This window comes from Homo sapiens, chromosome 11, assembly GCF_000001405.40.
Source record: "Homo sapiens chromosome 11, GRCh38.p14 Primary Assembly".
Classification (NCBI taxonomy): Eukaryota; Metazoa; Chordata; class Mammalia; order Primates; family Hominidae; genus Homo; species Homo sapiens.
The window spans coordinates 120,338,401-120,351,486 of record NC_000011.10 but is presented as its reverse complement, the minus strand read 5'-3'; the positions used below and the strand labels follow the sequence as shown (position 1 = coordinate 120,351,486).

Genomic DNA, 13,086 nt, shown 5'->3' with positions numbered 1-13,086 from the left:
GTCTCAAAAAAAAAAAAAAAAAAAAAAAAAATATATATATATATATATATATATATATATATATATATATATATATATTCCTTTCCTACATCCCAAGTATCTTGATAGGCCTAAATTTCACCTTTTTTTTTTTTTTTTTTTTTTTGAGACGGAGTCTTGCTCTGTTGCCCAGGCTGCAGTAGGGTGATCTCGGCTCACTGCAAGCTCCGCCTCCCGGGTTCATGCCATTCTCCTCAGTCTCCCGAGTAGCTGGGACTACAGGCGCCTGCTACCACACCCAGGTAATTTTTTTTGTATTTTTAGTAGAGACGGGGTTTCACCGTGTTAGCCAGAATGGTCTCGATTTCCTGACCTTGTGATCCGCCCGCCTCAGCCTCCCAAAGTGCTGGGATTATAGGCGTGAGTCACCGCACCCGGCCAATTTCACCCATTTTTAAAAATGCTCTTTGTCACCTACATCACATCTTGTCATCTTTCAAAGTCTAAAATATTAGAGCAACAAGTAATCATGATTTAAACACTGTCTTACTAATCAAACTACTGCAGTTTCCAGAATCCTTCTCTGACCAAAAGATCATCATATTTATCACATTTTCACTGGATGCACAAAGTATATATAGGCTTAATCAGTTGCTATTTCCAAGAGACTGATAATGAGTAAGAGGTTCTCCTTCAAGTAGTGACTAAAACAATGCCCAATCCATAAAATGTTACTTCCTCTGTTCAAAAGCAATGAACATCTAAAACTTCTTAGATTCCAACTTACACCAATGTCTTTTCCATTTTGGTCTAAATAGTTCACTGAAATATAACTAAACTGAAAAATAAAATAAAAAGGAAAACATAAAAAGACAGTATGTGATAGAAAGTAACCACATTTTTAAAATTTGGAAATAAGATCAATTTAATCATTATTATTTCATTCTACAACTTCCCCCAAATACACATACTTCTCACTTTTTTTTTTTTTTTGAGACGGAGTCTTGCTCTGTCACCCAGGCTGGAGTGCAGTGGCGTGATCTCAGCTCACTGCAAGCACTGCCTCCCAGGTTCAAGCCATTCTCCTGCCTCAGCCTCCCCAGCAGCTGGGACTACAGGTGCCCACCACCATACTCGGCTAATTTTTCGTATTTTTAGTAGAAATGGGGTTTCACCGTGTTAGCCAGGATGGTCTCGATCTCCTGACCTCATGATCCGCCCACCTCGGCCTCCCAAAGTGCTGGGATTACAAGCGTGAGCCACCGCGCCTGCCACATACTTCTCACTTTAATCTTCAGCACAGATGAATAAATATCACTCTATCATGTAAATTTCTTCATTTTAAGATATAATTCAGCAGGTAGCAAGAGCTCAAAATAACTGCCAAGACAATGACCTACACAGAACAGGCATTCAATATTTACTGAATAAATAAACAAACTGATGTTAATAAATACAGAACTGGACAAATTCTGAGTGATCGAAGGCAGATTTAAAAGTATACTGCCAATCCAAACTAACCCATTTTGTGAAGAGATGTTCCACGGTCTGAATTGAAATAACTCTTAAATCTATTCCTCACTCGCAAACGCATTTAATTCTAACAATAGCCTGAAATATAAAAGATAAGGAATATTATCACAGCAAGGGAAAAAAACTATCTTAGCCACAGCTGCTAAAAATACATATGGATTCAAAAAGATCTTACAAGCACAGATGAAAGTTCTAGCAAAACCTAGCTAATTCCTGAAGTTTAAACAATAACAGCTACTATAACTTACTGAGCTCTCTCTTACGATGTGCTAGGTACTCACACACACTCTCATTTAATCGTCACGACAATTCTGCAAAGTAGGTATTCTTCCCATTTTTACAGATGAAAAAATTAAACTGCTGATCAGAGAGGTAAATTTGCCCAAGGTCTCCCAGCTAGTAACAGAACAAATGCAACACACCAAAACCCAGGCTCTTTTCTCTATATCATGCTCCTTCAGTTCCCTTCCACTGCTCCTCTCTTACAAGGGCTAAAATATATAAATAAATACATACACACACATACACACACACATAATTAAGGGCTGAGATATCTTTTCCTTTAAAAGCTACTTTTTATCTCTGACAAAAAATGATAGCTTCAAAAAAAAAGTCGGCCAGGGAGTCAAAATTAATATAATTACTATTACATATCCATATAATATTTGACTTACTTTCTATTTTTGGAAACAGAATTGTACCTGGTTCCTTTTAAGCTATAATTGTATGGTGAGAAGCTTCTCCTTTTTTACTGTTCACATCCAGGCAACACACCCAATTTAACTTTATACACTGTCTCAAGAATTCTAATCATGCAGGGCTTCCTGGTAAATACAGTAACTACTATAGAGACCTCAAACATTCCCCCAAATTGTGCAACTAACAATTGCAACTAAAATACAACCAAGGTACAAGTATATTATCCTAACAAAGGTACACATTGGGTATCCCTTACCCAAAATGCTTGGGGCCAGAAGTGTTTCATTTTGAATTTTTTTGTGTTTTGGAACATTTACATATACATAGTAAGATATCTTGGGAATGGGACCCAAGTCTAAACACAGAATTCATTAATGTTTCACGTACACTCTATATGCACAGCCTGAAGGTAATTTTTTATTATTATTTTTTTTGAGACGGTGTTTTGCTCTTGTTTTCCAGGCTGGAGTGCAGTGGCATGATCTTGGCTCGCTTGAACCTCCACCTCCCTGGTTCAAGCGATTCTCCTGCCTCAGCCTCCCGAGTAGCTGGAATTACAGGCATGTGCCACCATGCCCAGCTAATTTTGTATTTTTAGTAGAGATGGGGTTTCTCCATGTTGTTCAGGCTGGTCTCAAACTCCCAACCTCAGGTGATCCGCCTGCCTCGACTTCCCAAAGTGCTGGGATTACAGGCTTGAGCCACCATGCCTGGCCCCCGCCTAACGGTAATTTTATACACTACTGTAAATAATTTTGTGCATGAAACAAAGTTTGTATTATGTACTTACGTGTAGAATTTTCCACCTGTGGCACATGGCACCCAAAAAGTTTCAGATTTTGAAGCATTTCTGATTTTGGATTTTTGGATTAGAGCTACTCGACCCATACTGACAAACTATTACCTCTGAAACTAATGTTCTCAATTGTGATACAACAACAGAAAAACAGTATGAATCATGGCAAGTCAAACTTATTCTTCTTGGGCAAATTTTTATTTATTTATATTTTAAATAGACTATATTGTCACAAGTAACCAAAACCAGAATCAACTCCACTAATTCTGTAAAACTGGTTTTTCCTTCCCAAGAAAAACTCAAAATTAAGTAATTTTATTTACAAGCCAATGATAGCTACTTTTCTACTGTAGTTCCTACATGGACTCTGAAATGAGACTAGCAATATAATGTAATTAGAAAAAACTAAAGCTAACTGGATATCTATAAAGACTACTTTAATATAAGTGTCTCTGTACACAATGAAAGAAGCTAGTTAAGGAAACAAAATTAATTTGATAGTGGTACTATACTAAAATATTTCCATCATGTTATATACAATAATTATTTATTTCCTAATCTGCACAAATCCTCTTCTGCCACCTCATTGTCACCTGAAAATCTACAAACTGAAGAGATTATATCTGTTTATTTTGTGTCCCACTGTTTATTACCTAACAATCCCCCCAAAAAAAGAATGTCCTGTGAAACGGTAATCCTAGATCCATAACAGAATGTCTCATATTCCCTACAACCATGGAAATGACAAACTTACTGGTTATACTGAATGCTCATAAAATCTACGACATCTTGAATCAAAATGGAGGCTTTCAGGCCTTCAAGACAAACTAACCTGAGCAGCTGAAATTGGCATTAATGATTTCTAAACTAAAATTAGATAGATGAATTTCTTTACTTTTATATCATCTTAGAGATCATCTTAAAGATATGATAGATCCTTTCTCCACAGAGCAAATGGCATGGGTGAACACAGGATTTTTATAAATGATTCTGATGTTCTTCTCCAAAGAAAATAACATCACTGAGAGCTCCCAGAAGACTTGGAGCCATTAAGAGCTGGGATTCCTTTCAACTGGCATCATTCCAACAGAGGCTCAGTGAGAAATGAAACCTCTGCAAATCAAATCTGTTGCAATGTTATTTTTTCCAGAGGTTAATTACCTGCTTCTGCTACACACACACACACACACACACACACACACACACACAGACAGAGAGAGAGAGAGAGAGAGAAACAGAGAGAGACAGAGAGAAAGAAAGAAAGAAAAAGAAAGAGAAAGAAAGAAAGAAAGAAAGGAAGGAAGGAAGGAAGGAAGGAAGGAAGGAAGGAAGGAAGGAAGGAAGGAAAGAAAGAAAGAAAGGGAGAGGCTGGAAAAGTAGATGGCATTCTGTTGTAAGCCTCCTCCAGAAATACTCAAAATGAAATCAAAACAAGTTCAGGCTGTCAAATTCTAGATACGCTCTATGAACGTGCTCTGCTGCTTGACACCTGTCAGTCTATATAGTACTATTACCTCACCCTATCAGACAGTAATAATTTACTATGAGAAGTCACACGTTCAGACTTTATCTCTTAAAAATACTTAGTGAAATACTTGTAAGTGAAATTATGATATCCAAAAACTGCTTCAAAATAATCTAGTGAGAAGGGGGGAAAGAAAACAGATAAACCAAGATTGTCCGTACATTAACTGCTGGAGTAATAAAGGGAACAAGGGAGGTTCATCATACCATTCTCTGTACTTCTGTTTATGTTTGAATTTCCCACTAAAAAAAAAGAAACTTTCATAGACTCCAAATAACCCATTTAACAAGCATTTACTGAACTTGTTGATGTAGACTATATTATTTATTGTTCCAAATTATTTAACCTCCACTTTCCTTAAGAGGATTATACAGCCTTATCTGTTATCATGCAACTTGCAATGCCACCTGTGGAAGGACTATACATCCTTACCCCACTGACAGTGAGCTCTGACCATATGACTTGCTTTGGCCACTGACATGTGAGCTGATGTGACATACAACATGACTGAGTGAAAGCTTTAAGAGCCATTGTATGTCTGCATCTGTTTTCTTGCTCTCTCCCTCATCCACAATAATGGCACAGCCCAGACAGGGGATGCTCCTTGAGCCAGGGTTCCAAAATAAGAAACGTGAAGCAATGCTGCAGTCAATCCACAGCTGACAAGGTGTAGCATAAGCAAGAAGAAAAGCAGTGTTGTAAGCCACTGAAATTTGATAGTGTTGCTACAGCAGCATAACCTAGCAAAAGAAGACAGATACACTTATTATGGAGTAGGTGCAAAAAATAAAATTATAGGCTGGTATATATTTTTAAATGTTTCAGAAGATAAACCAAAAAAATTAACTATTGTTACCTATGAGGAGAAGGTATGAAAACTAACAGGTGTGTAGGAATACTTTTTTTTATACCATTTTATATGATTTGAATTTTCTGTGTGTGTATGCGTGTGTGCGTTTAACCTGAGCAGCAACATCTGGGTAGTTGGATCATTTGGGCCATTTATTTTTCTTCCTTCTGCTTTTCAGTATTAAAAAATAAAAATATAATAAGGCTACCGATAATTACTTAAAAATGAATAAGAACTATTCTTATACCCTTGAAGAACTCACGTATTAGCTAACAATTTAGCTTTAAATAAAGCCTTCCCCCATTCATTGTTAATTTTTTTAACGTCCAAGGCTAAATACTGTATATATATATATATTTAGGAGTATGACATACGCCATTTCGTTTTTTTTTTTTTTTTTTTTGAGACGGAGTCTCGCTCTGTGCCCAGGCTGGAGTGCAGTGGCGCGATCTCGGCTCACTGCAAGCTCCACCTCCTGGGTTCATGCCATTCTCCTGCCTCAGCCTCCCCAGCAGCTGGGACTACAGGCACCCGCCACCACACTCGGCTAATTTTTTCTATTTTTAGCAGAGACGGGGTTTCACCGTGTTAGCCAGAATGGTCTTGATCTCCTGACCTCCTGAACCGCCCACCTCGGTCTCCCAAAGTGCTGGGATTACAGGCGTGAGCCACTACGCCCGGCCTGTTATATGCATTTCTATCAGTTTGCTCACTTTCAGGTTTCAGCAAAGCAATATAGTGTTTTGTATATGGATGGTACAGTTACTAATCTCAAAGGAAATTCTCACAATTTCATTATTTTAGTATGCCAGTTAAATTGGCAAAGAGGTTTGCTCTAGTTACAGTTGTTCAAGGGAGAGAATACAGTCATGGGTTCTTAGTTTCTGTTTCTGGATGGGCCAGTAAAGCCCCTTCCTCATCCCTCTTTCCGTTTTATCACTAGAGACAGAAACTAAAAACCATGGCTTCAGGCTGCTGAAAGCCTAAAACAAAACAAAACAGAAGAACAACAGCAAAATAAGGCAGGTTGGACAAGCTTGCTAGGTGTTAAGTTTGGTAAATATGCCTTAACCAGTACTAGAGCAAGGAATCTATTAAGGAAACTCTTCTAGGGTAAAATCATAAAGGAGCATTGAAAGAAAGGAAAAAAAGGGGAAAAATTCTAATCATGACTCTTGTGGTGATAAAACAACACTTGAATGGTTACAGAAATCAAGTTTAATAGAGTAACACTTTACTACATGAACAAGTTTTAACTTCAAGAGAGCAATATCTGAACATAGCAGTAACCTGCAAATGACTAAGAACATGTCTGTACTTTTCATCCTAAGATCTCAAAGCACTTCACAAACATTCATTTAACTCTCATATCACCTGAGAAGTAGTGATATAATAATACATCATTATAACCATCTATCCTGCCAATACAAAATATTTAAATACCTCTTCAGCAGCACTTGCCCTAAGAAGGTCTTGCTAAACAGCCAATAAAACAGGAAATAGGCTGACAGTGCATATGCCACCAACAATCTCTGAAAAGATCAGACCTTCACCCACAAGAACCACTTCCTCTCAGTAAACCACAGAGACTGTACTGGGCAAACCACAACATATCGGCTTGTGTCTGGAACATAGGCAGATAACCCATCTAAAATCTATGGAAGGGTATGTCTAAGCACCTTCACAGGATTTCTTGTGTTAGCAAGTGTATTTGGGGTATCTGTTACTCTTCTGGATAACATATAGCCACTTTCTGCATTACAAGATCAATTTCAGGTATCATTCCTTCAGAGGCTGATGAAGTCTCCAGTTTTTTTTTTTTTTTTTTTTTTTTTTTTTGAGACGGAGTCTTGCTCTGTCATCCAGGTAGGAGTGCAGTGGTGCAATCTTGGCTAACTGCAACCTCCGCCTCCCGGGTTCAAGTGATTCTCCTGTCTTAGCCTCCCGAGTAGCTGGGATTACAGGCATGTGCCACCTGGTCCGGCTCATTTTTGTATTTTTAATAGAGACAGGGTTTCACCATGCTGACCAGGCTAGTCTTGAACTCTTGACCTCAAGTGATCCGCCCACCTCAGCCTTCCAAAGTGCTGGGATTTACAGGCATGAGCCACCGCGCCTGGCCAGTTTTTCTACAACAAAATAATCTACATTTTTTTGAATCCATAAAAGATCTACAAAGTCCTCTTTGATCTTTTGAGTATATGAATGTAAAATCAACATTTATATGTAATATTTGACAAAAACTGTAGTATCAGAGTGTACCTTTAAATGACTCTAATGTGTTATATAACACCAAAAGAAAAAGCAGTGTGACAAGCAGCTAATTGAAAGCATTAACTAAAACCAGGCTCTCTTATATAGTTCCAATTTCTGCATGAATTGTTACTTGCAGTCCAAGACAGGAAACCTACTTTTCATTGGCCAGTAGATTTGCTTGTCTCTAGACACTGAGAAGCCACCCAGGCCTGTCATGTGACTGTGATCTCAAAAACCAGGACTCAGCATTTGAATTAGTAAAAGATCCTGTTTCGGTATGAATCTAAACTGCATTGGTGCATGCTAATTCAAGAGGTAAAGTTAGTGTATTTTTTCTTTTACTAAAAGTCGACACTATATACTCATGCAATTTAGGCACAGCCTCTGACCAGGCACTAGCTTCATAGGCTTCTATTGGAGTTAGAAGCTGTCTTATAGCGGTCTTCCCTATATGACTATCTTGATGATTCCAGATATTCTAAGTTGAAAAAGTAAAATGCTCTAAATTTGGCATGTTTGCAAATTTTAGTATTACCAAAATACAAAATATTAATATTAGCAAAATACAAAACAAGGACATCTATCTCAATAATTTGAAACTAAAATAGTACTAAAGAAAATATGCTAATAAAGTATTCAAAAGGTCTACAGTCTTACAGATTTTATAATAATCTAAATATGCACTTTTTCTGTTACACTGTCTTGTCATTAACAATTCTTGTAAATACAACAGCAAGAAAGTAAAATATTTCAATTTTCACAATATCCATTTTACTGAAAAAAAAAATACTGCTAAGCATTGTTATTTCACTAACATGTGGAAATAAGAGGAGACAAAACAATAAGGTAAAAATAAACCAAACATCGAGGAATGTTTTGACCTACAATTTAAGATAACGAACTGAAAAACCACTGGAAAAAATAAGAAACAACTTCCTGATGTATTTCATCATATTGCAACAAGATGATTTTCCATCAAAGGTGGCTAACATTATTTCTATACCCTACCCTTTTGTCATAGAATTGATAACATTTGTTACATTGAGGGTACTCATATTTGAAAGAATCGCTTTGTAAAAAAGCCTTTTAGAACATGAGTAATTGCTTAATTAGTTGATTTGGTAATCATGCTGTTTGTATAAATTTGTTTCATTTGACTGTGACATATCTCATATCCATCCTAAAGACTATCTAAAATAAAAGTGAATCAAAATGACCTTGAGAATCTCTTTACCCATATTTTTGCAGTAGGAGAGCAACTGAGAAAAAGCTAATGAAATATTAAGATAAGCTGATTTTTAGACAATGGATCAACAGAAAGCATACAGCTTGGCTAAGCAAAGAGTAAGGGAAGGGGACCGGAAAGGATAATGAATAACCGTCTGAAACATTTAGAATCATACAAACATAAAATGGGAGGAGAGCATTATTTAGCCTGGTACAGCAAGTACATACAAGTAACAGGACAACTTAAAAGAAAAGTTAGACGTAAAGATCAGGAAAAACTTCCTGACAGCAAGATCTATCAGACTGTGCTTCAGTCTCCTGAGGAAGTGACAAAAGCTTTATCCTCAAGAGATATTTAAAATTAGAATGGGTAAGGTACTAGAAACTATGCTGTAAGAGAAAAATCCAACTGACTTCATCAAGCTGGAGAGTTACTAAAGGAAAATAGCACAGAAAAATACAGTACAAAGAAAGACAATAATTTAAAATGAAAAAAAACAATGGGGGACTTGAGAGCCAGAAAATCTAGGTTAAAATCTTGGGTCTGCCCTTTCTAGTTTTATAATCTTGACTTAAAATCTTGACTTAAACTGTATGAATTAGCTTAAAGTGTAAATGACAGAAGCATGATCTGCCCTGTACTGAACTGAAAATATTGTAAATGTTAAAGAATTATACTACCACAGGATATCATTACCTACATGATGGTATTTTACTCAAAAGAAGGCAAAAATATAATTTTGTTGATTTAAAAATTTTAACTCACATGGCACTATTTTGAAAACCTGTAATTATTATAAGGGAAAGGAGCATGTCTTCAAATAAAGCTCAGGAACATCATCAAAACCAAGTTTTAACAGAAAAGACCAAAAGAAGTTAAGCTACTATTCTTGAAAATGTGTCATGGTCAATTTCTAGGAAACAAGCAAGTATATAAGAAACATTTCTAATAATGTCAGACAACCATGATGCAAAAGAGTCCCTTCAATTACCTCTGGGAACCAGTATGTTATCTTGCTGTTTCTGTGACCCGTATCAGTTTGGGAAGCAATTCATACCCACCACTGGATGACATTTAGAAGAGGCAACCACATATGTACAATGAAATATTTTCCAACTGTTTTCCCTGGAATCGCAATGCTCCACAGAAACATATGTAAAATTCACCATTTATGGATTCCATGAATGTTTGCCTCAAATTTCATTTTTTAAACTGAAAACTCAAACTTAGTTAAAAAACAACAACAGCAACAACAAAAAAAACCACTGGGCTCGGTGGCTCAAGCCTGTAATCCCGGCACTTTGGGAGGCCGAGACGGGTGGATCACCTAAGGTCAGGAGTTCAAGACCAGCCTGGCCAATATGGTGAAACCCCGTCTCTACTAAAAATACAAAAATTAGCCAGGCGTGGTGGTGGGTGCCTGTAATCCCAGCTACTCAGGAGGCTGAGGCAGGAGAACCGCTTGAACCTGGGAGGCGGAGGTTGCAGTGAGGGGATCACGCCACTGCACTCCACCGTGGGTGACAGAGCAAGACTCAAAAAAGAAAAAAACCTACATGTTAACTCGATGGTATATACATGTTAACAACCGGAAACCACCAATGTGTTAAGTGGTATTCCAAGGTTAACATATTTTTGTAATGATTTCAAATAAAGCTTCTCTTGTCACCTTACTGAATATGAACATCATATAAATGTACCATTAATCAGGAAGACTACAACACTGTACTTTCAAAAAAAGTTACTTTAGATTCTGCATGTTGACTCATGTAAAACTGTACAAGTGAATGTACTATTGCATACCTTTATGACTCAAGATTTTATACTGAACTAAAAAGGCAAAGATAAAACTGAATACAAAACTAACACTGTGATCTTTGGCCCCCATTTCAATTTTGTATTTATGGACTGGCTGACTTTACAAGAAAAGGTTACAAATAATTTCACCTTGCCGAGAGATGACTCATGCAACGTTGAAAATAACATATAAACATGAGTAGCTCTTTTTTTTTTAATCAAAACCATTATACAGCAATTTTGACAGAAAAAGTATCACTAATGAAAAGTATCATTAATTACTGGGTACAGGCATATAAAGTCACAGGTTTCCACACTCACTTTAAAAATCTGCTTAAGTTAAACAGCTCAAAGCTGAATTCAGTGCTTTAAAAAAATTGTATCAAAAACCTGTCTTTATCTATAAATCAAAAACTACAAAATTCATAAGCCCTAGCCAAAACAAAAGTCCATTTATTTCAAGGAAGAACCCTATAACTTTCCTACCTGTACTGTCCCTGAAAATTCAATGTTATAGACACTGGCCTGAAATCATTTACTGAGTCTACTAAAAGGGCATTCTCTCCTGTCTACCTCTCAGAAGAAATTCCAATTGCTATAGGACCCCTAAATTCTCAGGGATACAAGAAAGACATGTAGGAGGATTGGAAACGATTAGGATGTATTTTAAGACTGAATGCAGCAATCAATGCAGACTAAAAAGCAGCAATCAGACATTTCTACACTTGTCAAGTGCTCATTCTAAACGATGAAAACTACAGACTCCAGGGCTCATAAATTGCTTACCATTTTTTTTAAAGCTGTTTGGATATACTACATAGAAGTAATAGCTACCATGAACATAGTTTGAGTTTAAAGTCTTTTAAAAAGTTTGAGTTTTAGGTTTTAAGGGGTGCGGACTGGGGAGTAAAAGATGAAGGGAAAGAGAAGAGAGCAAGTTAATGTGTTGATTTAACTGCAAAATAATAACAGGATGTAACAGAGTTCTGAGTATCCAAAGTGACCAATCAGAGCCTAAACATAGCTGAATTCCATCCCAGCCCCAGCACGTCCCTAACACAAGAATAAAACCCTTATCTTGTTCAGCCATGTGTCGCCTGCCACAAACTGCAAAACAGAACAACGCCCAAAACCAGCTAGTCTGATTTCAACTGAGGACAGACAGACTCTGTAGTCAGAAGCACCACAATGAAAGAACTCTAACTCACACAGCTGGCCTGGTGGTTCTGCACACTCTACGAAACAAAGCCATACCACATACAGCACTTCAAACTTGAAAGGATCTCTATCTAAAAAGCTACACTGGTGCTGTTAATTTTCCAACAGTTCTAGAGTCAGCAAAATATACCTACAGTAAGAGTTAGACACTACGAAAAAAGGATGAGGTAGGGCTGACAGAAAGCTAGAAACTATTATATACTCGTAACTTTGTTAAGACACCTTGGCAGAGAAATAATACTAAACCAGTACCTCCAGATTTCACCCCAACATATATTCATATTAGGAACAACTACTCTCTTAACAGCAAATGGATGCTTTATATTTACAAAATATATTTAAATGTGGTCAAATAAGAATAATTCTTAATAAAAAAAGACCCTAGTAAAAAAAAATCCTACGAAACAGGTCTCAGCAGTGCTTATTAATTGGCTTTCCAAGGTCTTTTCTTTAAAAAAAAAAAATGTAAAATTAGGCAGCAGCACCTGAACCAGTTCAAAAAACATTAATGCCCAAACCAATTTGCAGATTAATCTTACAATATTCATTTTGTAATCTCTTGTGCCTGCACAGTGCCTGGCCAAAAAAAAAAAAAAAAAAGAAAAAGAAAAGAAACAGGCTTTCAGTAATTTCATATTTATTGAATGTTTATATGCCATCTACGTTATAAAGAGGATACAAATTCCAAGATTCTATTTCCAAGATAACGAGAAGACAAGGAAAATCCCTGAGAAGCAATGCTGAAGAAAAACCATTACTTGAGGGCTTTTCACTCACTTGTGTGTGGAATGAGTCCGTTCTGTTTCCATAAATTAAACACCTCAGCATCGCAATGAAAACCAACATTACATTAGTTCCTAGCAAGACTTTTGTTTACAGGCTCAACAGAAAGAGCGAGAATTGAATGAAGCAGGAAAACAATTATCCCCACACCCGTAAAAGTGATTTCTCAGAAGCAAAACACCCTGAAAGGAAAAAAATGGGGATAACCAGAAGAAAGTAAGATAAGCATTGTCAATACTTATCTTAAGTGTATTCTTGGAAAAGTTAAAAATTATTTCATTGAAAATGAAAACCCACTTTGAAAAATACACAAAGAGTAAATATAAATACTTTAAATATTTAACAGACTCTTTTAAGTGAACATTCATGTGATGCTGGAAAGCATCAACAGGAAGAGGAAGTTCTGTTTCTGGAGTAGCTGT

The 13,086-nt window shown here is 36.7% G+C and overlaps 1 protein-coding gene across 15 annotated transcripts in view; it reads right to left on the bottom strand.

Moving 5' to 3' along the window:
• The window catches only part of ARHGEF12 (Rho guanine nucleotide exchange factor 12), a 153,525-nt gene that overhangs the window by 138,451 nt on the left and 1,988 nt on the right, over window positions 1-13,086 (bottom strand). The gene's annotated exons all lie outside the window — the stretch shown is intronic.